The sequence below is a fragment of the Homo sapiens genome, chromosome 12 (assembly GCF_000001405.40).
Source record: "Homo sapiens chromosome 12, GRCh38.p14 Primary Assembly".
Classification (NCBI taxonomy): domain Eukaryota; kingdom Metazoa; phylum Chordata; class Mammalia; order Primates; family Hominidae; genus Homo; species Homo sapiens.
The window spans coordinates 124,401,961-124,427,197 of record NC_000012.12 but is presented as its reverse complement, the minus strand read 5'-3'; the positions used below and the strand labels follow the sequence as shown (position 1 = coordinate 124,427,197).

General features: G+C 57.8%; 1 protein-coding gene and 1 long non-coding RNA gene across 4 annotated transcripts in view, besides 5 other annotated features; one reads left to right on the top strand and one right to left on the bottom strand.

Annotated features, from left to right (window-relative positions):
• NCOR2 (nuclear receptor corepressor 2) overlaps positions 1-25,237 on the top strand; it is a 243,198-nt gene that overhangs the window by 140,415 nt on the left and 77,546 nt on the right. For all 3 annotated transcript variants that reach the window (NM_001077261.4, NM_001206654.2, NM_006312.6), the window contains exons 13-16: positions 398-576; positions 4,643-4,697; positions 7,143-7,241; positions 24,637-24,794. In NM_001077261.4, coding sequence (NP_001070729.2) covers positions 398-576; positions 4,643-4,697; positions 7,143-7,241; positions 24,637-24,794 — 491 coding nt within the window. The remainder of the gene's footprint in view (positions 1-397; positions 577-4,642; positions 4,698-7,142; positions 7,242-24,636; positions 24,795-25,237) is intronic.
• On the bottom strand, positions 2,611-3,886 carry LOC124903044 (uncharacterized). Its single transcript, XR_007063508.1, has 2 exons — positions 3,586-3,886; positions 2,611-2,977 (listed from the first exon to the last, which is right to left on the bottom strand). It is a non-coding gene; the product is annotated as an uncharacterized LOC124903044 (long non-coding RNA).
• Positions 4,281-4,575: an enhancer, noted in NCBI's record as "tiled region #11802; K562 Activating DNase matched - State 1:Tss". NCBI's record gives its function as "activates a minimal TATA promoter and a strong SV40 promoter by Sharpr-MPRA in K562 cells {active_cell/tissue: K562}" and the evidence as "EXISTENCE:reporter gene assay evidence [ECO:0000049][PMID:27701403]".
• Positions 13,747-14,375: an enhancer, noted in NCBI's record as "H3K4me1 hESC enhancer chr12:124897369-124897997 (GRCh37/hg19 assembly coordinates)". NCBI's record gives its function as "activates a minimal SCP1, AML or CMV promoter by ChIP-STARR-seq in primed H9 embryonic stem cells {active_cell/tissue: H9 hESC(primed)}" and the evidence as "EXISTENCE:reporter gene assay evidence [ECO:0000049][PMID:30033119]".
• Positions 14,376-15,003: an enhancer, noted in NCBI's record as "H3K4me1 hESC enhancer chr12:124896741-124897368 (GRCh37/hg19 assembly coordinates)". NCBI's record gives its function as "activates a minimal SCP1, AML or CMV promoter by ChIP-STARR-seq in primed H9 embryonic stem cells {active_cell/tissue: H9 hESC(primed)}" and the evidence as "EXISTENCE:reporter gene assay evidence [ECO:0000049][PMID:30033119]".
• Positions 23,268-23,911: an enhancer, noted in NCBI's record as "H3K27ac-H3K4me1 hESC enhancer chr12:124887833-124888476 (GRCh37/hg19 assembly coordinates)". NCBI's record gives its function as "activates a minimal SCP1, AML or CMV promoter by ChIP-STARR-seq in naive H9 embryonic stem cells {active_cell/tissue: H9 hESC(naive)}" and the evidence as "EXISTENCE:reporter gene assay evidence [ECO:0000049][PMID:30033119]".
• Positions 23,912-24,556: an enhancer, noted in NCBI's record as "H3K4me1 hESC enhancer chr12:124887188-124887832 (GRCh37/hg19 assembly coordinates)". NCBI's record gives its function as "activates a minimal SCP1, AML or CMV promoter by ChIP-STARR-seq in naive H9 embryonic stem cells {active_cell/tissue: H9 hESC(naive)}" and the evidence as "EXISTENCE:reporter gene assay evidence [ECO:0000049][PMID:30033119]".

Genomic DNA, 25,237 nt, shown 5'->3' with positions numbered 1-25,237 from the left:
GCCCACTCTTGCCTGCGGAACCTGGAAGGCCAGCCTGTCTCCCGGGCTCCCTGGGCCCAGCTGGGCTGAGCATCCTTCCTGCAGTGCTTTATGGCGCTTGCATTTCCAAAGGGAAGATTCATGGCTCCCCTCCCACTGCAGAGAAGGCGGCTGCTGCTCTCTGCATTGAATCTACAGTCCTGCCCACCATAAACCTGTCGGGGAGGCCTTTACATTCTCCCTTCCCCCAGCATGAGCTATTATTATTTTTAAACTCATCATTCTCCTTCTCCTTGGTTTCGCGTTTTCCCTGCTCTGGCGCAGACCATCCGTCCCCTCTGTGTCTTCCCTGGGTCCCCTGCGCCGGCCGGAGCACCTCGTCCCTGGGCCTCTGACCCTGCCCTCCGTTTCCCTGCAGAACCTGGAGAAGCAGATGCGCCAGCTGGCCGTGATCCCGCCCATGCTGTACGACGCTGACCAGCAGCGCATCAAGTTCATCAACATGAACGGGCTTATGGCCGACCCCATGAAGGTGTACAAAGACCGCCAGGTCATGAACATGTGGAGTGAGCAGGAGAAGGAGACCTTCCGGGAGAAGTGAGTCCTCCATCACCTGGCCTGGCCTCCCGGCCCCCCACCCCCATCCTGTTGAGGCCTGCGCTGTCTCCCGGCAGCCACCACAAATGAGCATGCCGGGGGGTGCTTAAAACCGCAGGGATTTACTCTCTCCTGGTTGTGGAGGCCGGAAGTCCAAATCCTGGTGTTTCGTGGGGTTGGTTCTTTCTGGGGGCCGTAAGGGAGAGCCTGTCCCTGACCTCTTCCCAGCTGGTGCTGCCAGCATCCTTGGCCTTCCGGGGCTTCTAGATGCATCCTTCCATGCTCTGCCTTCGACCCCACATGACCTTTGTCTCTGTGCTTCTCCTCTTCTTATAAGGACACCCGTCACACTGAATTTAGGGTCTAGCCTAACCCAATACAACCTCACTTCAACTAATTACATCTGGAAAGACCCTGTTTCCAAATAAGGCCGCATTCTGAGGTTCTGGGTGGCCATGAATTTTAAGAGGACACACTTCAATATGGTACAAAGTGTAAGGGCAGCTGGATGTAAGACGGGGCACTGCGAGTCGGAAGAACAAGGCAGGAGGGACTTAGAGGCTGGGCCGCAGCCTTGGGCAGGGCGGCAGCTGGCCAGTGGCTTTTGGTGGTTTCTATTTTGTTTTGTCTTTGACAATAGCTGCTGGCTGAGTGGGTTCGTGATCCCATCACTGTGCCTGTGTCTTCTCAGCTTCATGCATTTTCCCCCTCCTGTCCCTTATGACAGCTCAGCCAGGCCCACCCCAGTACACAGCTGATGACACGGAGGCTCAGAGAGGTTCAGACAGTGCACAAAGGCCACACAGCATGCACACAATGGAGGCAGGGTTCAGACTCCTCCAGCTGGAATGGAGAGGCTGTATAGGGAATGGTTTGTGAATGGGGCCAGGGAGGGGGGCTGTGCAGAGCAGAGACGGGAGTCGAGTTCTCTCAAAAGCTGTGTCTGAGGGGGCCAAACCCCACAGTGAGAATCTGCGATGTGACATCCAGGCAGAAGGAGACCTCCATCCCTGGCCCGGGGTCCCCAGAGGAGATCGTGGGCCCTGCTGAGCCACCCCACGCCTTAGGGACAGTGTGCTATAATTCCGGGGAATCTAATCTTTTGGCTTCCCCAGGCCACACTGGAAAAAGAAATGTCTTGGGCCACACAGAAAATACACTAACATTAATGATACATGATGAGCTAAAAAAAAAATCACAAAAAAAATCTCATAAGGTTTTTTTTTCCTTTTTTTCTTTCTTCTTTTCAAGACAGAGTTTCGTTCTGTTGCCCAGGCTGGAGTACAATGGCACAATCTCTGCTCACTGCAAGCTCTGCCTCCCGGGTTCACGCCATTCTCCTGCCTCAGCCTCCCGAGTAGCTGGGACTACAGGCGGCCACCACCATGCCTGGCTAATTTTTTGTATTTTTAGTAGAGATGGGGTTTCACCATGTTAGCCAGGATGGTCTCGATCTCCTGACCTCGTGATCCGCCCGTCTCGGCCTCCCAAAGTGCTGAGATTATAGGCGTGAGCCACCACGCCTGGCCAAAAATCTCATAAGGGTTAAAGAAAGTTTACGAATTTGTATTGGGCCGCATTTAAAGCCGTCCTGGGCTGCATGTGGCCTGTGGGTTGGACAAGCTTGCTCTAATCACTTGCACGTAGAGGGCTGGGTTCCCTGCCCAGGACATAGAGCACCTCCTCAGGACCTCAGAGCTCTGGGAGGCAGGAGAGTGGGAAACTGAGGTGTGGACGGAGGCCTCTGTGCTTGGCCAGGAGGGGACGCAGGGAAGAGACTTTGTCACTGCCCGACGTTCACCCGGCAGGCTACTGAGCTGCCTTGGGGAAGACCCTGCCTCCGGACAAGAGCTTCCTCCAAAGCAATGACACTCCTTCCCCAGTGCCCTGGGCTTTGGTCCAGGGTTGTGGCCCCAAAGAGGTGCCAGGCAGGACCTAAGGGATGGGGTGACTCTGGGTCCCCGGCAGGGGTGAGTGGACCCGCAAGTGCAGATACCGAACTCAGAAAGGACACAGTGGCTATCCAGGAGGGTCTTTGGTGGAAAACATTTTTTAAGAGTAGCTTTTGATTATGGAAATGTTGAAACGTCCATAAGAATAGAGGGGTGGGGTAATGAGCCCTGGAGTGCCCACAGCACCGAGTGAGTGGTCCTTCACAGGAAACAGCGCTTGGTTCCTGAGCAGGAATACTCGGTTACTTAATGGCTCGTGCCTGCAGCCTCACCATAGCAGGCACGATCTTTCTACGTCAAATCAAAGTCTCCGTCGAATGCTTCTTACAGTTTTGAACGAGGGAGGTGATGGTGGGACGGTCACGGGTGTTAAGAATTACTGAATTACTGTTGCGTTTGAGATTCACGTTCCCCCTGGTAGGCATGATGTTTTAGTGTATGTATTTTTTCTGAAATACAAAAAAAAAGGTGTTCTGGGAGACTTTCTGCGGCTTCAGCCTTTCGGAAGATCTCATGTGGCTCTGCAGGTCTGATAATGTCACCCTCTGTTAATTCAGTAACCGAAGGGTGGGGGACCCAGGCTGGGCTGCTATCTGCCGGCCCGTGGGGCTGGCGTAACTTCCATCCTGTGTGAGCCGCAACTTGGCCACTTGCATGCCTCAAGGACTGTGGGCTTGGTTTGAGGTCTCATGTGCAGAGGAATTGATAGCACTCGGGGCTTTGAAAATCACCTACTGACGGCATGGGGCTCCACCACGTGCTGGCCATGTGACCATTCCCCCTCTGAACCTCAATTTCCTCGTCTGTAAAATGGGTATAGCGACAGGGCCTCCCTTGTGAGGTATGCAGGGCATAGGAAACTTCTAATAAACGTCTTCCAGGGGTGCAAGTGAGGTATTGAGGGAGGGGAACAGGGGACCTAGGAGATTCCCAAGTTTGATTCCTGGTCTCTTGGGAGCCCCCACTGTGCCTGGGGAAACCCCGTGGGAGGGGTTTGCAGGGAAGGAAATGTCACTGGGACAAGGAGAGGGAGCGGAGAGGAAAGGACTCTCCCTACCTGGAAGAGAAGGGCCTTAGGATGGCTCCGGCCTTGCCAGCCGCCCGAGGTGGGATCCCAGGCCAGGGAAGCCTGCCATTCCTCACTGCGCCGCTTCCACCGGGAAGAGAGCAGAGACTGTTCAGGATCCTCGGATGTCTGGCTGGGAAGCAGGCGCGGGGCCTGCTGGCCTCCTGCCCAGCCATCTGGAGGGCCAGGCAGGTCGGGCACTGGTGCTCACTCAGCCTCCCTCCGTGGGAGCCCACAGTCCAGCCTCACTAGCAGCCAGCCGCTGCTCTCCCTGCGAAGGCTGTGGGGCTGTGGCACGTCGCCGGGACGCCTGGGCCTGGGGCCAGGGACTCCACCCAGCACCCCTGGGGTGGAGCAGGCCTTGACCCACATCCCCGCCCCCACCATGCTCCCGCTCCTTTGGCCCTCACATTTCAGCCTGGGCCCAGTGGTTTCCCAGTAATTCTCCTGGCTACGCAGGAAGCCAGTTGGGACAGTGCCAGCGACCCGCCACCGCCCTCCGACTTAAGTCCATGCTTGCCGCCTCCTTGGCTGGCCAGCCCCCTCCTGCTGCCCCACGGGCACTCAGAGCCTCTGCTCCCAGCTCTTCTGGGGAGGCCCAGCAGCCTGGTGAGCTATGACCCCACTGGTGGGGCCCTGCCATGTTCCCAAGCAGACCCTGTGTGGGCTGGGTGAGGCCCTGCTTCCCAGATCCAGCTGGAGAGAGAAACAAAAGTGGATTTTAAAGGGGGGGGAACCCCACCAAAGAGCTGCATGTCGTGTCCTCATTTTTCCTGGAAGCCGCCTCCAGCAGGACAAACAAATATATTTTCAAAGGCGCTAAAGCCAGTGACTCACTCCAAGGAACGCCCTCTCTTACCCCTGGGTCCCCACCCCTCCCGTCTGCCGCAGCAGCCCTTCCCACACCCCCCTGGGCTTAATTGCTCCAAGTGGGGCGGTGCCCGCCAGGCCCGGCCAGTGGGGATGGCAGGCGCCTGGGAGCCGATCGGCTGCCCCGCAGGAAAGCCCCCCTCGGCCAGGTCTCACGCCCACCCTTCTCGTCCCGCAGGTTCATGCAGCATCCCAAGAACTTTGGCCTGATCGCATCATTCCTGGAGAGGAAGGTGAGTCGCTGCCCGCCCCATACCCCTTCGGTCTCCACCTCCGTGGGCAACTGCGTGGACTCAGGGTGGAGGCCCTCCCTCCTTGCCCACAAGGCCCTGGCCTGCCTGGCCCCTTGCTCCAGCTGCCATGCTCCCCTCCTCCCTCCCTCCCTTCCTTCCATCTGGGAGATAGATCAGTGCAGGCCCCGCCCTGGCCTCCTGGGCCCATGGAGGAGGAGCCTCAGGTTGCTGAGCACCTGGGAATCCCGAGAACCCCAGGGAGAGCTGCACGGCCAGGCTTCCTGGAGCCCCGTGTGCCCGACGGGTCTCCTGCCAGCTCCTCAAAGGCCACGTGGAGCGTCCTTGCAAACTGGGGGTGGATTCTGGAAGCACTACGTGCCTGGCATCCCAGTGAAGTTTTCGTAGGCAGGAGTGGCGTGCCTCAAAGGGACTGGAGGGACCAGCTTTTCTAGGTCCCTCTGAGGGTCACTGACTGCTTTCTGACACCTCTAATGCCAAACCAGACGTGTGGCCTGCAAGTCCCCATCTTCTTTGGACAAACCTTTGTGTGGACCTGAGGCCTAAAGCCCACTTTGTGTCAAGCCCAGGCCCGGAGCAGCTCCAGGTGGCCGGTAGACACAAAGTGTCCCCAGAGAATGGTAAAGCCGTTGTTTTGCACCCACAAGGCTGGTTGGACTGTGCCTGGAGAGGCTGCAGGTGGGAGAAGGTGGCTGGATGAGGCTGCATGTTGGACGTGGCCCCTGGGCCTTCCCCCAGCATCTTGGGGTCAGAGGAGAAAGGCTGCCGTCCGTGTGTCTTAAGCAGCATTCCCCTGAATCACGTTTCTCAGAGATGGGGACCTGCCCACCCCAGCTTGGTGGACACCCTGCTCGGGCTTCCTGGTTGTAGGAGGGAGGCCAGGAGGATGAGGCACTTATTTTAAAGGACAGCTGTTCCCAGCGCCTGCCCCTCATGAGCTGATAACCGTAGAAGGAGAGAGACCGAGCAGAGTGGGGAAAAATCTCTCCATGCCTGAAAAACCAGTGTGGAGAAACAAGCCCTATAAATAGCCCATCTTCTGAGTGACGACGTCTCCCTCAGGGAGTGGACGGCACGGCGGACTCTAGGTTAGGGCTCCCCAGGATGGAAGCATTTCAGAAACTGGCCATCGAGCAGTCCTCCTTCAGGATGAGGGGATTAGAAGTCTTTGTGCTGGGGAGTAAACTTCATGATGTTCTTTGGCTGAGAGGCAGCCCAGGACAAGGCTTCAGTAGAGCTTCCAGAGGGGTCTGGAGCAGGAGCTGCCAACGGAGAGGCCGGCGGGGACAGTCAGGTCTTGACAGTGAGTGAGGCTGACGTCTGGCTGGGAGCCAGGTGGACCAGCCAGTCTGTGCCCGTCTGCGGGGGCAGCTGCTGTCCGGAGCCGGGCTGCCATTGCTGAGCGCAGGAAGGAGCTCTCTTGAATTGTTAAAGGAGAAGTCGGGCACCCACATCCCCTGAATTGCAAATATTGGCATCTGATTATAAAACGTCTTTCTCGATTGCCATGTTTGTGGGCTGGGTTTAGCCTGGGGCCGCCTGGGAGCCCCCCTGGCGGTCGTACTTGGCAGGAGGCTGCCAGCTGGGGGCTTTCTGTTGAGGGCAGTGAGATTTGAGGCCCAGCTCAGAGGCCTCACAGAATGCCCATTGGAGGTGGGGTCCTGGCTTGGCACTGGCCAGAGCATTGCAGAAACATTTTACATTGTAAGGGGAACGGCTGTGGGCATTGGCAAGCTGGGCTCCATGCCCGCAAGTGGGGGCATCGTGGCATCACTTTCTGAGGCTGCCCCTTTTACTCGTCCCATTTGGCCGGGGTTCATGGAGGGCTGGTTGCTCCGGCTTTCAGACCCAATCTACATGGAAAAGACCAAGGCAGAGAAAAGAAGGAAACCCAGGAAGAGGCGCGTGGGGCGTGGGGCGTGGGGCGGTCCCGATGCACAAGGCTTGGAAGAGGCTATTCAGGACCTCAAATATCAGGGAAGAGAAGGCTGAAGCCAGGGAAAAGAGAACCCGGACCTATGTTTGGGGAAGGCTTTGAGTTTGCCCGGCTGTGGGCTGGAGTCCTTGTTTCCCATAAGGGCTGGGGGTGACATGGCGACGTCAGCGCTGTCATTAACCATAGCAACAGCGGTGACTGTGATAACAGGAAAGACTTCCATCATGTTTGCTCTGGGCCAGGCCTCGTCCCAAGTACTTTACCTATGTATTAACTGATCTGATCTTTGTGATAATCCTGTGAAGTATGTACAATTAGCATTCCCATTTTACAGATGAGAAAACTGAGACACAGAGGTTAGGTCATCTGTCCGAGGTCACCCAGCCGGTACGTGGAAGAGGCAGGATATGAGCCCAGGATGTGAGCTCCTGGCTCCTGCCCTGAATGCCTGTGCTGTACCCTGCTCAGCGTCCTCTTTCTCTGTCCCACAGACAGTGGCTGAGTGCGTCCTCTATTACTACCTGACTAAGAAGAATGAGAACTATAAGAGCCTGGTGAGACGGAGCTATCGGCGCCGCGGCAAGAGCCAGGTAAGAGGCAAGGTGGGGGTGACTGTCCTTGCAGGCTCCCTGCATGCTCAGCGGCCACTTGCTTGGTGGCCAGCACCCCGCATGGCTGGCGGTAACTGTCTCCATGAGTTGTTGTTGCTTGGCCACCGGCAGTGTGAGTGCAGGCTCCCCTCCGTGGTAGCAGCAGATGTGGGGAGACCCCCTCTGGGGTGCTCACCCTGCCAGGCTATCTCGAGCCTCCCGTAGTGGCCAGGAAGATAGCTGGGGAGAAACAGCCACGGGCCTCCTCAGCCTGTGAAATCCCAGACTCCTGACTGGGTGACCTGTGATCTCTGTGCGTAAAAAGGCTACATTCCAAAAGTAAGAGCTTCCCAGGATGACTTGGGGTAGTTCACAAACTTCATGTTTAAAATGTTAATGGTTGTGTGTGTTTATCTTAATACATACTTGAAAGAAAAAATAGCCAGTACTTCAGCTCGCCGTTTTTTCAGACGCCGTTGCTTGGGATGAGACTGAAAGATTATTTACGCTAGAGCAGAGGCTGGCAGACTGGGACTCTGGGGCTAATCCGGCCCACCATCTGTTCTTGTGAATAAAGTTTTATTGGAACACAGCCATGCCTGTTTGTTTACATATTACCATGGCAGCGTCCTTGCTGCTCTGGTGGAGTTGCATGGTTGTGACCAAAAGTGTATGGCGTACAGGGTCTCAAATGTTTACTAGCTGGCCCTTCATAGAAAAAGTTTGCTTTTTCCTCCGAGTTAGAGGAAAAGGAGTTGGTTTGAAAAAATATCCAGTAAATAATGGTAGAGATGAGAGGCTCAGTGGCACGCCTTTGAAAGGGGGATCCTGGGCGCTCGGTGTTTGGGAGAATTTGTTTTGCATCCGGGCTCTTGAAGCATCGTCTCAGAGCAGATGCTGGGAGCACCACACAGAGGAGGCGGGTGGAGGCAGTGGGCACTCTGGCAGCTGCTGGATTGGAGTCGGTCGAGGCATTTCCTTCCTGGGGTCCTCAGTGGCTGGGGTGGGGGCCGGGTGAGAGTGACAAAGGCCAAGAATAGCACGAGCCGCGTGGAGCGTCCTTGCAAACTGGGGGTGGATTCTGGAAGCACTACGTGCCTGGCATCCCAGTGAAGTTTTCGTAGGCAGGAGTGGCATGCCTCAAAGGGACTGGAGGGACCAGCTTTTCTAGGTCCCTCTGAGGGTCACTGACTGCTTTCTGACACCCCTAATGCCAAGCCAGACGTGTGGCCTACAAGTCCCCATCTTCTTTGGACAAACCTTTGTGTGGACCTGAGGCCTAAAGCCCACTTTGTGTCAAGCCCAGGCCCGGAGCAGCTCCAGGTGGCCGGTAGACACAAAGTGTCCCCAGAGAATGGTAAAGCCGTTGTTTTGCACCCACAAGGCTGGTTGGACTGTGCCTGGAGAGGCTGCAGGTGGGAGAAGGTGGCTGGTACTCCCTATAGTGGCACCCTCTAGCCCCTCCCCAGAGCTGCCCCGCCTTCCCTTTCCCAGGCTGCCAGAGGTCGAGACCCATAAGGTGTTGAGACCAGCCATCACGGGTTGGGGGCGGGGTCCCAGTGTCTGCCGTGAAACAGCCACTTTCCTACAGCCTAAGAAAACTCCCATGAGGGAAACGAGGCTGTTGTCAGGAGCATGAGCCACCCCTCGCCGCATTCCCAACATCCAGCCACGATGCCTGGGGCTGAACTCGGTCCTTATCCGCAGGGATCGTGGAAGGGTGGCTGCGTTTGTGGAGAGGGTTTTCTTGTCTAGTTTTCTGTAGCCAGAGTTGACCAGTCTGCTTGCCCTTCTAACAGATGTGTAAAACCAAGGCCGAGTGGCACAGAGCATGTATTCCAAAGACGTAGCTATGTTTTATTTTTGTTTTTTTGGGATTTGTTTTTTTTTTTTTTTGAGATGGAGTTTCACACCGTCGCCCAGGTCAGAGTGCAGTGGCGCGATCCCAGCTCACTGCAACCTCTGCCTCCTGGGTTAGAGTGATTCTCATGCCTCAGCCTCCCAAGTAGGCGGCATTACAGGTGCGTGCCACTGCATCCTGCTAATTTTTTGTATTTATAATAGAGACAGGGTTTCACTATGTTGCCCAGGCTGGTCTCGAACTCCTGACCTAGATGATCCACCTGCCTTGGCCTCCCAAAGTGCTGGGATTACAGGCATGAGCCACTGTGCTCAGCCGCTACGGTGTTTTTGAAATTGAAGTGCATTCAGGAATTTTCTAGACTGAGAGGCAAAAAGGTAAGTGCCAGTCAGGGAGTATATAGATGCTGAGGTATGAGAGGCAGCAGGGAGCGGTGGGGATTATGACAAAGGAAGGGTGGCTAACGGCCTCAAGAGGTATTTGGAAAACATCATCAGGCGTCTGTTGGGCCCCTACTGTATGCTCATTCTCTTGCTGGCCTTCCCAGTTCCCCTCCCATGACCTGTTTGGGGGCATTGAGGCTGGGCTTGTGGTGGGAGCCCTTCCTGGTAGCTGGGCTGGGGGCTCTGAAGAGCAGAGGCCCATCCCCTCCCCCTGTGTGAGAGCCACATTTGCACAGAGGGAGGTGGGGAGACCATGGTAATTTAAGAAGGGTGGGGGGTGTCGGTGCCCGGCATATCCTGTTGTAGAGGCCTGGCCTGTACTGTGGTAGAGTGAGTGTCCAGTAGAGTGAGTGTCCGGCTTGCTCTTCGTGGAGTGAGTGTCCGGCCTGCTCTCCGTGGAGTGAGTGTCCGGCCTGCTGTCCGTGGAGTGAGTGTCCGGCCTGCTGTCCGTGGAGTGAGTGTCCGGCCTGCTCTGCGTGGAGTGAGTGTCCGGCCTGCTCTCCGTGGAGTGAGTGTCTGGTCTGCTCTCCGTGGAGTGACTGTCCGGCCTGCTCTCCGTGGAGTGACTGTCCGGCCTGCTCTCCGTGGAGTGAGTGTCCGGCTTGCTCTCAGGAGTGAGTGTCCGGCTTGCTCTGGGCGGAGCGAATGTCCAGCTTGCTGACTCATCCATTGATTGAGCATTTATTGTGTGCAGGACATGGGGAGCTTCATGCTGGTTGTTCAGAGCCATTGTAAACAGGTGGCTTCAAGACAGTGCCGCGGGTCTCCCTGTGCGGCGGGTCTATCTGTGCCACGGGGTCTCCCTGGGCCACGGGGTCTCCCTGTGCCGCGGGGTCTATCTGTGCTGCGGGGTCTCCCTGTGCCACGGGTCTATCTGTGCTGCGGGGACTCCCTGTGCCGCGGGGTCTATCTGTGCCGCGGGGACTCCCTGTGCCGCGGGTTCTATCTGTGCCGCGGGGACTCCCTGTGTCGCGGGTCTCCCTGTGCTGTGGGGTCTCCCTGTGCCACGGGTCTATCTGTGCCGCGGGGACTCCCTGTGCCGCGGGGTCTATCTGTGCCGCGGGGACTCCCTGTGCCGCGGGGTCTATCTGTGCCGCGGGTCTCCCTGTGCCGCGGGGTCTCCCTGTGCCGCCGGTCTCCCTGGGAGGTGGCATTGGTGGCACATCCTTGAAGACTCCGTAGAATAAAAGGCCCCAAAGATGAGGTTGAGGAGCAGCCCCACAGGCGGACAGGGATGGGGCCCTCAAGTGCAAAGGCAGGGAGCATGAGAGACAGCGCGTGTCTTCAGGAACAGCAGGGGGCCTGAGTCTTTGGATTCGTGGGGGTCCCGGTACCTCCCAGGGCCTTAAAGGAACAAAGAAAGGGAGATTATGTGACCCTCTTTCTTTTGCTCATTTTTGATGGGTAAATAGAGATGTTTTTTTTTACCCTGTGAAAAATAGAAGTGCAAACTCGATAAATAACAGCTCACACTTGCCTTCGTGTCTGGGGAGGGAGTAGGGAGTGGTGAGGCCTGTGGCTCACTGCAGAGCTTGGGCCCCGTCTCAGCTCCAGTGGACGCTTGGCCATTGGCCCTGAATTGCCAGGTGTTCTGATCTTTGATGACGAGCTGGAAATCCAGTTTTATGTGAAACTGCCTGATTTTAAATCTTAGGTCACATTTTTTAAAAAGGGAAAAAACAGCTCAACACTGTATATGCCACACAACTCTTACTTGCTGTTGAAATCACCCCCAGCCCCAAGTAGAAGACCTCTGGGTTAGACTACAGTGAGACCAGGGGAGGAGGGCATTAGATGTCTGGGGCCAGGCTGGGGCACCGGGGAAGCCCTAGAATGTTCCATAGCAGGGAGGAAACATGCCCCTCTTTACACCGGAGATGTCCTGGTTTAGCCGTGGTATCTGCGGTGCCTGGGAGTTGGTGGGGCTTTGCTGGTGAGTTTTTATCCCCTGCTGAAGCTGCCGTTCCAGGCAGGGGCTCCCAGGATGGGGAAATGATGCTTGTCTGCTCTGCGTCTCTCAGAAAGATGGCAGAAAGCAAGCCGGGCAGGAGGTCCCTGTCTGTCTCCAGGGCTCGCCCCTTCCTCGGATCAGCTGCGTTTGCTAAGGAGGTGGTGGCGTGGCCTGGGCCCTGCCACCCCCCACAGGCCTGGTTCACAACCACGGGGTAAACAGGGGTTCTCAAGTGCTAACTCTGGGGCTGAGAGTCCTCTCTGCCCCATGGCAGCAAGGAAAATCAGCGGCAGCTTCAGGCTCAGCCTGTCTTGTTAAGTGGAGATGCAGTGACTGCCGCCAGCTGAGCGTCTCTGTCTGTGGCTGTATTTGTGGAGCCACTGACACTGCTGATCAGTCTGCCCCAGGTGAGGGCACAGCAGGCCTGGGGTGGGCCCAGCACCGCTGCTTGGAAGGCTGCGGTGACGGACGGGAGGTGCAGGCAGTGGTGGTCTCTGAGTGCGCCAAGGCTGTGAGCACACAGAACCTGCAGCTCCTTAAGGAGGGTGGGGAGGTGAACTGAGACCACTCCCCACCCACTACCCCGCTGCCTCAGCATGGCTGGCACCTGCAGGCTGGGACAGGCATCTGGGACTCTTGGTGACTGTGGGCTGGGGAGCCACTGCCCTGTGCTCCAGGCAATGCAGGCACCCAGGGTACCTCTGTGGGCCGGTTCTTCTTTCTGACCTATCCTGGCAGCTCAGGCCTTGTGATCAGATGGGAATCCCTGGCCATGGAGCACACGAGCCCCTGCCCAGCCCCACTCCCCTCACAGCTGCCCCAGGACACTTGTCCATGCTTCTCTCTCCCTCATAGGTTTCTGAGTGAGCAGACACAGCCCCTTCCCCCTACCGTGACATGGGCCCCCTCCCCAGGCACCACGGGAAGATGGAGAACCCGGGTCTTCCCAGCCAGTGAGCCCACCCACCCTCAGGGGTAGGGTGCCCACTGCCAGGAGATGCTGTCTGCCTCTTCCCCGATGTCGTCTAGTGGGAGGGAGCTCAAGCTCCCTTCTCCGTGATGTTTACCTGGAGGGCAGCAGGTCGGGTTCTCCCTCCCTTCCTGGGCCCTCTAGTTTTGGAAGAAGACTTAGGTTATCTCAGCCAATATGCATTGGACCCCTTGATGGCTGGTGGGGGATGGGACCTGGGAGTCCAGTGAGACATGGGAGCCTTGTCAAAATTCCAGGGGCACCTGGCCCTGCTGTGTGATGGGGATGGGTGCTGCTGGCCGCTATGGTGGCGATGGCGATGATGGTGATGATGACGGCGACAGTGATGGTGCCGGCCAACAGTCATGCAGCACTATCGCCACACACTGTGATGATTTCAACCTCACTAGTGTTGGGGACAGGTGTGTAATTATCCCCACTGGCCAGATGAGACAGAGGCACAGGGAGGTGAGGAAGCTTCCAAGGAGCCTGCTGAGTGGCAGACTGAGGGTTCTAGCCTGGCACATGCAGCCCGGGGAGTTGGAGGGAGGCCCAGCCGTCCCCTCGGCAGCACACTGGCCATAAAGCCAGCCTTCTGGAAGCCAGCCCTGATCCGCCAGGTAGGACAGGCCTCTCCTGTGGTCTGTGCAGGAGCCCTGCGAGGGCAGGCGGCAGAGGGGCTCATGATGAGGCTCCATGTCAGTGGGGAGTCGGATGCTGGATGCGGGGACCCCAGGTGAGCCAGGCTGGATCTGTGCTGTGGAGACACCCTCTGATATGGGGTGGGTGGGAGTCCTGGGGTGGGGGGGGCTCAGTACCCCCCGCCACCACCTGTGTCTCTTCCCCTGCCATGTGTCCCTCAGCTCCTGGGGACAGCAGCTGGCCACTGTCTCTTTCTCTCTCAGTGCCTCCGCCGTTACCATATATGTCTTTGGGGAGTTGCTGAGGGCTCTTCCTCATCTCCCTCTCTCCCGCCTTGTCTCTCCTCCCCATCTCTGTCTCCCGCTCTGCGTCTCTTGCGCTCTCTCAGCACCCCCACTCCCAGTGCACAGCCCCTCTCTCCTGGGTTGCTGTGGAGGCTGCTGTGGGTGGCCGCAGAGAGGCTGTGGTGCTTGTGGTCCTGGCGCGGTGCCCGTGGCTCCAGGCCACATCTCTGCTGAAGACAGGCACGAGTGGCCTCTCTCATGTCACCAGGACAGAGGCCGCTCGCAGGGGCCTTCCTGCCTCGTGTCCCCAAGCTTGCTCGCCCCACAGACCCCCCAGGAGGTGCCCATCGGATGCACAGTATATGCATGTTCATCCGGGGGCATTTATTCAGTGCCTACTGTATGCCAGGGTTGTCAGACTCTACCTTCAGATGCGAATCCGACCTTAATCCTTCCGAAAATAGGGTAAAGGGATCAGCCGCGCCTGGCCCATCTCAACACCCCAGACTGCCCTGATTCCACGCTGCAGAGGTGGACACAGGGTAGGACTTCCGAGGTGTCGGGGAGTGGGCACGACCGCCCCTCCCAGGGTCAACAGCGCCCACGTGCCTCCTGTGGGTTTCCTGAGTTGGGGGGTGCATGGCCCAGGACCAAGGACATGGGTGCCCCTCCTTTCGCCATTTGTCAAGGTGGGATTGAAATGGAGGCTGTGGTGGGATCCCGAGGGAGGGGAAGCCTGTGGGCTGGGGGTGAGAAGTGACTCCAGGGACACTGGACCGTGCACTTTCCCCGGCAGCGAGGCTTCCGACTTCCTCAGACACCACTGACCACGCTGGGATGGCTGTAGCCAGCATCCTGGGGCTGTGCCCTCCTGGAGTTCCCCCTGTCTGAGGCCAAGGTCTGCTTTGTGAGGGGACGTGTCCCAGTCTGAGTCCTCAGATGTGAGTGCATGTCGGAATCACCGGAAGGGCTGGGGAAACCCAGTCACTGGGCCGCACCCCTCACCCCACAATAAGGCCGAGATCCAAGACTCTGCATTTCCAAGGAGCTCCCAGGCGTTGGTCTAGGACGCTGCTGAGAACCTCGGTGCTGGGGGTCAGCCCCTGAGCAGGGAGCAGGGTGGCTGAAGGGGTTGTTAAGCCCGAGGTGGGCTACCCCACAGCCCAGACCACCCATGGGAGTACACTCAAGCTGGAACGGCCCTTCCCAGGTGTTTGGGGTGGGCAACGGCCTCCCTGGCCAGGGCCCAACTTGGATGAGGCAGCTCTGAGCTGAGTTATTGTCAGCGCGCCTGACAGCCGATGGCAGCCAGCCCCTTCTAGAAGGGAGGTCTGGCCAGTCCAGCCCAGGAGGCAGCCTGTGCATCTGCATGTTTGCAAAGCCACGCTTCATAGATGCTGTGGCCACCCGAATGCTTAACCACAGCCCAGCAGCAAGACGCCAGTGCCACCGTGTCATCTCAAGGACACCTGCCCTGTCTGAAGTGCTTGCACCAGGCCCTTCTCCGCCCTGTCACCCCGACACCATGTGCCCTGTACCAAAGCAGTTTGTGTGTCATTTCGATGGTTACGTTTCTGAAACTTGGATGGTTATAAAGTGGAATATGAAAGTCCTTGATTAAAAGTGCTGGCCATGGGACGTCTCTGGACTCAGACCCGCGCTGTGTGCGGCCGCCTTCACTCTGGCCCACCTTGGCATCCATGGCACTGGTGCTTAGCCTTGTGGCCGGCTGGAGGCGAGGGATGTGCATGGCTGTTTAGAGTGGTGGGATTGCCTTCTTGTTTAATGGAGGGTGCCATCCTCTTTCTGGAAGCTTCTCTGTGTTCTGACACGGGGATGCAGGCCCGGGCATAGGCTTTTGGAATGCTAGCCCCTCCACACCCACCCCCATGAGACCCCACAGGCCTGAGCTTTGGCAAGGGAGGGCCGAGCCCCCACCTCCCGGAACCTGGCCCCTGAGATCGGCCGTGAGCGGCTTTTGAGCCTGGAGGCTGGGTTGAGGCCCGAGCATCCTCTCTTGGGCTCCGAGCCCCATCACCACCACCCTGAGGTGAATCACGGACTGTGGGGCGGTGCGGGGAACAGCTCAAGCGCTGGCACAGTGGTTTATAGTCCATGATTCATTGATGGAAGGGCCGCGTTATCCTAGTGAATTGCAAAACCAGAGCCCAGGAATGCTGGGGCCTGACTGCAGACCGTTGGGGAGCGAGGATGTGAGGCTGGCTAGGCCAGGTGGCAGGGCCCGGCCCCTGGTAGCCAATATGGCCTTCCCGCAGCGATGGGGGTTCATGTGGCCAAGGGGGCCTCTCTTTCTGCAGAGATGGGACACTGAGACGGGAACAGCCCGTCCTGGGCTCCAGTCATCCGGCCTGGGTCCAAGAAGGAAGCCCAGGGAGGCCGAGGCTCCGCCCCCGACTGCTGCCGTCCACTCTCCACTGTTCCCCATCTCTGTCCCTCTGGGTCTGCTCTGCCCAAGCCCCTGGCTCTGAATCTCCTGCATTTTTCTAGGTTTCTCTCTCTCTCTCTCTCTCTGTGTGTGTATGCGCGCACACGGGTGGCTACGTCTGTTTCTCTTCCCATGTCTTCCTCCCTCTTTCTATTTCTCTGTGTCTTTATCTCTGTGTCCACGTCTCGTCTGTTTCTCTGCATGTGCTTTCCCGTCTCTCTCTCTTTCCCCCATCTAAGTCTTTTAACTCTGTCTCTAGCTCTCTCTCTCTCTCTCCCCTTCTCTCTCTCCCCCATCTCTCCTCTTCCTCCTCCCCCGCCCCCTCCCCTCCTCACCCTGTCCCTGGGTCTCTCCTCTCACCCTTCCTCCTCCAGGTCTCTGCTCCTCCCCCACCTTTCTCCCTTTCTCTCTCCTCCCTCCCACTACAGCCCCCTGTCCCCTGCCTCCTCCGTCTGTCCTCTCCCAGCTCTTTGCGGAGGGACTGGTGACCTTGTTCCCCTTGCTGTGGCACTCGGACAGTTTGCACAGGGAACAGTATGACCGGGAAGGCTGTTCCAGGGCAGGAGCAGCCAGGCTTGGTCCCTGGGGAGGGGCAGCCGCTGTGCGGTGGGTGTTGGTATTCAGGGCTAGCTGCCTGCCCTAGGTGCTGAAGTCACTTGATGGTGGGGACCGGTGGCAGGGCGGGCCAGATCACCCCAGGCTGTGTTTCAGCTCCCAGGCCGAGGGCTTGTATCTTGTTTCAAACCTGCTGCCTGCTTGGGGCTGGGCCAGGATGGGCCCACAGCCTTCCGGTGGTGCCGACTTTCCCAGGCCTGCCAGAGGAGGTGGCTGGGTCCTCTCCAGTCAGGGCCAGCTGGGCTGGGCAGGATTGGGTGCAGTTTTAGGGTTGAAGTGAGCAGATGTCTCTGGTTTCCTGCCCAGCTTTGTGCTAGGTGGGGAGACAGTTGGGGGCTCCCCACGTCCTGCAGTCAGGGATGTTGCTCCCAGGGAAGGCAGCTGGTGAGTGGGCCGGAGCCCAGGGATGGAGCAGACCGGGCTGCAGGTTGAGGAAAAGACCAACATGGCCTTTGCATGGGCCAGGATGCAGTGCAGGGGCGATCGCATCAGAGAGGCAGAAGGAGGTGGAAAATGTGAGCGCTCCCCAGGCAGCAGATCGGTCAGGATCGAGGGGGCCTGGGGGACATCTCAAGCTGGGCTGCTGGAGTCAGGAAGTAGTTCCCAGAACAGCAGCCTTGGTGTCTGTGGCAGCTGGAGGCACTGAGGGAGGGGCCCTGGCAGGCTCACAGGCGGCAGGTTGTCCCTGGGGGATGGGTGGTGTTTGAGTCTGTTCTGCAGGGATGTCATTCTAGGTGATTCCCTCGTGGACAAGACAAACAAGGTCACCCCGGTGCGGTGGCTCATGCCTGTAATCCCAGCACTTTGGGAGGCTGAGGTAGGTGGATCGCTTGAGCCCAGGAGTTCAAGACCAGCCAGGGCAACATGGTGAGACCCCATCTCTACAAAAAAATTAAAAAATTAGCCGGGTGAGGTGGCTTGCTGCTGTGGTCCGAGCTTCTTGGGAGGCTGAGGTGGAAGCACTGCTTGAGCCCAGAAAGTGGAGGCTGCAGTGAGCCGTGATCATGCCACTGTGCACCTCAGCCTGGGCAACAGAGCAAGACCCTGCGTCCAAAAAAAAGGGCAAACAAGGTCCCTGGAGCTGACACCCATGGGGAACTTGGACCATGTGCAAGCCTCCAAAAAAAAGGGCAAACAAGGTCCCTGGAGCTGACACCCATGGGGGACTTGGACCATGCGTAAGTCAATCAGCATGGCAATTTGAGAGAGTGTTGAAGGGCAAACATGTAAGCCAGGGTCAGGAGGCCACTGCTGGGCAGGAGGGCAGCTTTTATAGGGAGCTGGCCGCAAGGCTTCTCTGAGGAGGTGTCCCTTGGGCTCAGACCTGAGTGATAAGAAGGGACTGGCCAGGCAGAAGTCGGGGGAGCACCCCAGGCCGTGGGCACAGCACGTGCAAAGGCCCTGAAGCAGGAACATGCGGGCCATCTTCCAGGAGACAGGTGGTGGGCATGGGGAGAGCTGCCCTGAGGGAGGTGGGCCAGGGCCAGGAATCCTGGCCTCAGAGCAGGAGCAGGGACTGTGGATTTGATGCCGAGTTGCGGGTCGGGATCTGAATTAGGATTTACAACAGAGCCTCGGCTGGCACAGCACACATCTGTACAGGCGGAACAGGCTTCCATGTGCGTGTTAAATGTTGCTCACGTTCTGTCGACACGCATCTTTCTGCCGTAGAGTGCTGGTAAATGTTTAACAACCAGCTTTCTGTAGGGGGAAGCTGCGTTTGTAGCATGTGCCGGTTGCCATGGTGTAAATAAATCCTCTCACCGTGCCCAGTGCCACGTGACAACGTGCTGCCGCTGACTTGGAACTGGGGAAAGATGCCCCTAGCACCAGGCTGTCTTATCCTGTTCTCACCCTGTGCATGGAGTTGGCGGAAGTCACCTCCACGGCACGGATGACTTCGTAGCTCCATGTAGCCAGATGATCAGGAAGCAATGCCCTTGGAGTGCTTGTAACCTTCGCTTTCTTTCTTTAAAAAAAATTTATTATTTTTTTAGAGATGGAGTCTCGCTCTGTCACCCAGGCTAGAGTGCAGTGGTGCAGTTGAAGCTCGCTGCAGCCTTGATCTCCCAGGTTTAAGCTTTCCTCCCACCTTAGCCTCCTGAGTAGCTGGGACTACAGGGATGCACCACCTAATTAAAATTAGCACCACCAGCTAATTTGTAGTGACAGGGTCTCACTGTGTTGCCCAGGCTGGTCTGAACTCCGAGCCCTAGACAATCCTCCTGCCTGGCCCTCCCAAAGCACTGAGATTACAAGTGTGAGTTACCTTGCCAGGCCATAATTTCTTTAATTGTAAGGTTAAGTGTTTCCATTTTTAATAATGGCCATGAGCTGGTAGCCACTGGCTCCAGCACGCCTTGGTATATCTTTTTTTATTTATTTTTGTTTGAGACAGAGTCTCACTCTGTCACCCAGGCTGCAGTGCAGTGGCGCGATCTTGGCTCACTGCAAGCTCCGCCTCCCGGGTTCACACCATTCTCCTGCCTCAGCCTCCTGAGTAGCTGGGACTACAGGCGCCCGCCACCAAGCCCAGCTAATTGTTTGTATTTTTAGTAGAGATGGGGTTTCACCGTGTTAGCCAGGATGGTCTCGATTTCCTGACCTCATGATCCGCCGGCCTCGGCCTCCCAAAGTGCTGGGATTACAGGCGTGAGCCACCGCGCCCCGCCACGCCTTGGTATATCTTATAAAAAGACAACCCTTAAACGCACTGAGATGGCCTCCCCTGACTGCATTTTCCCCAGCAAGGACAGGAGACTGAATCCGAGGGACAGAGAGCAGGTGTTAGGGAAGAGCTGCCAGCAACAGGGAACCCTGTTCTGCCTCGGCTCTGACCCCTGGCCCCACTTTCCACACCAACCCCAGGCTCCTGGAATCCCCATCCCTACACTGCCAGGAGGTGGAAGGTGTCATGAGGATGCGCCCTCTCAGGGGCACCTGGCACATGGTAGATGCTCAGTGAAGTGTTTGTTGAATGAGTGCATGAGATTGAGCCACAGACGGTGTTGCTGGGTTTTGGGAAGTTCTCCTGACACATTTGTAAGGACTTAGCATCTGAGAATTAAATCTCATCAACCCCTACGTGGGTGGTCGCAGCACCTTCTCACTGGACTGTCTCCTCTCATTCCCGGAATCCACCGTCTTCCTTCCTGCGACCTGCTATTGGATTGCTCTTTAACATGGGGTGGGTCATGTGACTCCCTGCGACCCCTGCACCTTTTGAGAAAGGTCCCCGGGGGCTCCCACCGCCCTCAGAATGCCTCCTGTATTTCTGAGCATGGGTGTTAGCCCTGGCCAGGCCCTCCAGCCATGCCCCAAAGTGCCACTTGGTAGGCACAGGGGCCATTTTCCCATTGCCATGCCGCAGAGGCCTCCTGCTCTGCCAAAGCCCCTTCCCTCGCCCTGCATGTCAGCACGCCTTGCTGCCTCATCTGCATCATGAATGTGCCTTTTGAATGTGTCCTCGTCACCGGCGCCTCCATCTGGCCTGTCTTTGTCAACCTAAATACAAGCTCCATACAGTTGGGGGCCACATCTTTCTGTGGCTGGTGTGCCCCTTGGGGGTTCAGGTTATGCTGGCGGAAGGAAAGAATCAGGCAATGGCATCATTTGGTTTAAATGGGCATAGGGAGGAGGCTGTGAACCCCCAGCCCAGGGCGGAGGTAGGGCACCTGGCTGTAGGACCTTCTAGGAAATGCTGTGTGACCTTGGATGAGTTACTTAAACTCCCTCTGTCTTTGCATTCTCATCCATAAAACTGGGATGATACCAGTTGTTGGGAGGATTCAAATAACAGGTAGGAAGTGATTAGGAGAAGAAGGCCTCATCAAATGTGCTCAGCGAGCTTTTGCTGTTTTTAATTAAGATATTTTTCTGCATAGCCCCCAGTCTGGGGCTTCTGCACAGGCCCAGTCATGTGCTGCTTGTCTGGCAGGCTGAGGGTTATGGGTTCAGTGTCCAGATCTGGGGGCAGGTGTCTCTTGGGGCTTTGGGCCAGTGGCTCTGGCTAACCATAGATCCAGTAGGGTTTGTCACAGAGTTGTACTGTGGTTTGGGGGGATGTTTCTGACCACGCACAGGGCACAAACCCACTGTCAGCCTGACCAGTGGCACATCTGAAAGGCAGAGGTAGCCCTCCACCACGAGGGCGGGGTCCTTTGAGATAGTGGAGCTGGCTTCTAGTTCTTTCTGATTCTCCTTTCAGTCCCCTCACGTTGAGGGAATGGTGCCCACAGGCGTTTTCTGCTGCACAGAGTCCTTTATGTGCCTTGTGAGACAAGGATTCTTGAAGGCCTCACTCCTCAGTGGGATCTGAGGCCAGCCGTGGCAGCTTCTCCTGGCGCAGGTTAGAAATGCAGAGTCCCAGGCCCCACCCCAGACCGACTGAGTGGGAATTGGCAGGGGATGTGTGTGCACCTGCAGGTGTGGGTAACACTGGCCTGGAGCAGAGTGCTCTAACGAAAGCCCACAGGCCAAATCCGGCCCACCACCTGCTTTTGTAAATAAAGTTTTATTGGCACACAGCCGTGCCCTTTTGTTGATATAAGGGCCGCTTTCACAAGACAGTGGCAGAATTGAGAAGGGGGTTGACAGAGACGGCATACTTATCCTCTGGCCCTTACAGAAAACGTTTGCCAGTCCCTGGTAAAGCACTGGTTCTCAAATCTGGCTGCCCATCGGGATAACCTGGAATTTAACATACGAACGCCTGGGTCTCCGCCCAGAGATTTGGATGTCATTGGTGTGGGGTGCGGCCTGGGCATCAGGACTTCGCAGGGCTCCCCACGAGATCTGAGTGTGCAGCCAATGTCATGGGACCTTGAGAACCATGGCCCCCAGTGGCCCGGGAAGCCCAGCAGGTGCAGTTCTGCCGCTCTATGGACAGGCCCAAGACCCAGCAGCCCAGCCTCGCCAGTGTCGGCTGCTGCACTTGCTGCCCTAAAACATAGAAGGCTTTGGGGGCTGAGCCGGCTGCCGGGTCCCCCCAGCTCCTCAGGGGGAGTTGTGAGCTGGGACCTCCCTCTCCCTGCATAATCTCCCAGCAGCGAGTATGAGCGGCCCTCAATCAGTCCCTCGGCCTCCCGGGTGGCCACTGCGAGACCCTGCAGATGTTCATCATTAAGGCTGCCGGGGTCTGTCCCACTGGAAAGCATATTTTAAGGCCAGGGCTGCTCTGCTATTCCTCCTTTTCATCTTCCCCCACCGGACTCACTCAGCGTGGGCTGCAGGGATGCCTCTCCCACAGGAGATGTTGAGGCCACAGGAAGTGAGGAGCCTGTGCACAGGGCCCTAGGCCTTGGCTGCAGGGTGGCCCAGAAGGTGCTGTGCTAGTGGGTGTTGCTGCACCCACTCCAACCAGAGGGTGAGGGTGGAAGGCACCCCTGCCCTGGGGGCTTGTTAACATGTCAGGGAAGAGGAGGCGGCAAGGCTTGGTGCCAGGATTGCACTCGGTGCCTCAGTTTCCTGTTCTGTAAGATGGACAGGTGGGTGGGTAGGGGAGACCATGTGGGACGGAGCCAGGCACGTGGTGCCATGAGCGATCGAATATGGAGACATAGGGGGTGACGTTCCAGGAGCGAGGGGGTTGTGGGCAGGCCCTGGCGGGGCTTGTAGAGTCTGGAGTGGGAGGCAGGTAGGGATAGGTAGATGGGGCGTGCTGGCAAGTCTGCAGAACACAAACTGTAGATCCTGGCTGGGGGTTGGCTGAGACTCTCAGCGGGGGCTCTGGGGGCAGCAGGGCCCCATCCCCCACACTCTGGGCCGTCAGCCTTTGCTCCGAGACCTCGAAGCTTTGCCTCTCTGAGCCTGTTTCCTCCTCTGCAGAATGTGACCAGTGATCACTGCTCTCCTGTTTCTGAGGCTGGGATAGTGTTTGCAAAGCACTTGGCATGGTGCAGGGGTGTTACTCGTGGCGTTTTCATCTCCATCAGGACTTCAGAGGGGCCAGGAGCCGGCCCATAGAAAATGGACAGCACAGTGCTGGGCACATAGTCAGCTCTCGGGGATCTGTGGGGATTTTCTCCTCTGTACCAGCCTCTTCTTCCTTGGGGCTTTTCTGAGGACTTGGAGGAGAGCTGCGGTGGGGAAGGCTCGTAGCTCAGGGCCTGGCCCAGATGCATCCCTCTCCCAACTGGCCCCTGCCTGCGGCCTGATGGGTGTGGAGCTGCATTTACTGGCCATGCCGGAGCAGACATTAGCCTGATTCGTTGGTCCATGGGTGAGGCCCCAGGGGGTCATGGAGCCCCCACCAGCCTAGGTGCAGGGGCTGATGGGCAGATGCTCTGGGAAGGAGGCTCCGTGGCTGCTGCTCCCATCGGGAGGGACGCCACAGCCCAGGTGGGGACTTCTTGGCACAGACGTAGCTGAATGTGGTCTCAGGAGACACCAAGCCCGTGTGATTCAAAAGCCCCGGCCCTGCCCAGACTCTGGCCCTGGGCTGTTGCCAGGGACATCTGACCCGGGGAGACGGCATCCATGCCGGGCAGCCCAGGGGCCAAGGCTCTCTCCCCAGCCAGCCACATCACTCCTCCCTCCCCGGGTCCCTACCTCTGCCCACATCGGGCAAATGTGGACAGAAAGGATACTGTGTAGGAACAAGCCAAAAAAACCCTCCCTGCCCCAGCTTCCACCTCCAAAAGAGGCTTCACCTGCCGGCTGTTTAAACGTTACGTTTGAGGGTTCGAGGTCAGGAGAGGGAGAACAGGTTGATCCCAGGATGCCGGGCACCTGTTGGGGAATCAGCAGCAACCTGGGGGCCGGGGGGTCTGTTCCAGGTCGGGCAACTCTGCCCCTTCCTGGCTCCTCTTACAGAACATGGTGGCAAGGGATTCCTGGGGAAAAGAGGCAGATGCAGGCCCGAGGCTCTGCCCTGGACCTGGCAGCAGCCTCAGGGAGCCCACGGTTGCCTGCAGCAGTCAGACACTTGCTCTGTTTTTCTGCCCCATCCTAAATGAAAAGAGGCTGGAGAGAGCGTTGTGTGCGGGTCAGGCACCTGTTCCTGGCAGGAAGGAAAGGCAAGAGAAGGGAGTCTCTCTCACCTCCCCGATCCCTCCTCTTCCATCTGCTTGGAGTTCTTGCTCCCTGGTTTGAAACATTGCCGTGACTGTGCCCCTGGTACACATTAAAAGGCTTTGGGGTTTATTTTTATTTCGCTTGGCTCAGAGGGATGGAAAGATGGTCTGGTTTGGCAGCTGCCTGCAGGGAGGACCTTGGGGTGTCCAAGAAAATCAGTGTGTGCTTTAAAAGAAATCAGGCGGGATGACAGGAAATCGGGAGGCGGTGCCAGGAGGAGCTCACACTCCCTCCTCTATCTCGGTGAGGGGAGGGGCGGTAGGCCCAGAGTGGCTGGGACAGGTCGGGGAGGCAGATGACAGGAAGAGGCCCAAGTAAGGAGGCTGGCTTGGCTCCCAGCCTCTCTGATCTGCTCTGTAAAATGGGCTTGTTCTGTCCCCCTGGGGTGCTGGCATGCGAGGGAGACCAGGCCCAGGCAGCAGAGCAGCCACCTCCACGCAGGCCTGGGGCCTTCCTGGGCTCTGGGGAATCAGGGGCATCCCCCCACCTCCCCGTTTTACAGACTCGGAGACCGAGGCTTAGAGAGGTGGCCTGAGCTCTGTCGGGGGCAGGGCAGGGCTGGGGCATCAGGGGTGTGTCCCCAGCTTCCCAGATGCTCAGGCACCCCTGCCGAGGCTCACCAGGGCACCTCTCTCAACCCAGATCACATCTGCCCCTCTTAAATATCCGGGCCAGATGCGGATGTAAGCATGGTGAGGATTCTCTCATTTCAACCTCCCAGCCCTCAGCTGAGGCACAGGCATGCTGAATACCCCCATTGTCAAGGCGAAGGAGTCGGCACAGAGAGGTTAAGACCCTCATCCAAGCTCACACAGCCACTGTGTGGAAAGGGCAGGAATTGAAGCCAGCACTTCTGACACCAATGCTTCCTGCCCCTCACCCCGACTCCGCCTCCCCAGGCCCCTAGGGCGGCAAGACCCCAGGCCGTGCCTCTCCCCATCTCATGCCAGTGGGGCCTGGCTTCCCGGTTGTTTATGACCTCTTCTGGGTGGACTCCACGGGTTTTCCTCCTCCTCCCCCAGCTCAGGCTGAGCCCAGGTGCAGAGATTCACCTGTTCACGGTTTTCTTCCCTCCCCACTCCCCTCTGCCCTCCCCCGGGGTCTGACAGCAGCAGCAACAACAGCAGCAGCAGCAGCAGCAGCAGCAGCAGCAGCAGCCCATGCCCCGCAGCAGCCAGGAGGAGAAAGATGAGAAGGAGAAGGAAAAGGAGGCGGAGAAGGAGGAGGAGAAGCCGGAGGTGGAGAACGACAAGGAAGACCTCCTCAAGTAAGGCAGCCTGCTGTCCCCTGCAGGGCCCGGCCGCTGACCCAACCCGGGTGGCACACGGTTCTGGGGGACCCTTTGTAGAGACGGGTGGGGTGCCCACCAATTGCCTGTGAGCAGGGGGGAGGGCTTTCTGCTCGTTTGCCCCTGACAGCCCCCCTTCCGGAAGCCCACCCATCGCCCTACTCCTCCTCCCTGGCTCCCCCCTCTCCTCCGCCCTCGCTTTCTTTCTCCAACCCTCTGGAGACTTTAGAGACTGATAGCTCATTTGAGCTCCACTCCTGAGCTAATAAATCCAGGCAATGACTTTGGAACTCTCTGCCTCCCTGCTTCCTCCCGCTCTTTCCTCCTGAGGCGCCAGGAAGGGGGAAAGGGGGATCAGAGGCCCTCCTGGAAGGACTAGGTGTGCAGGCGGCTGCTGTCACCTTTAGAATCATCGATGGCAG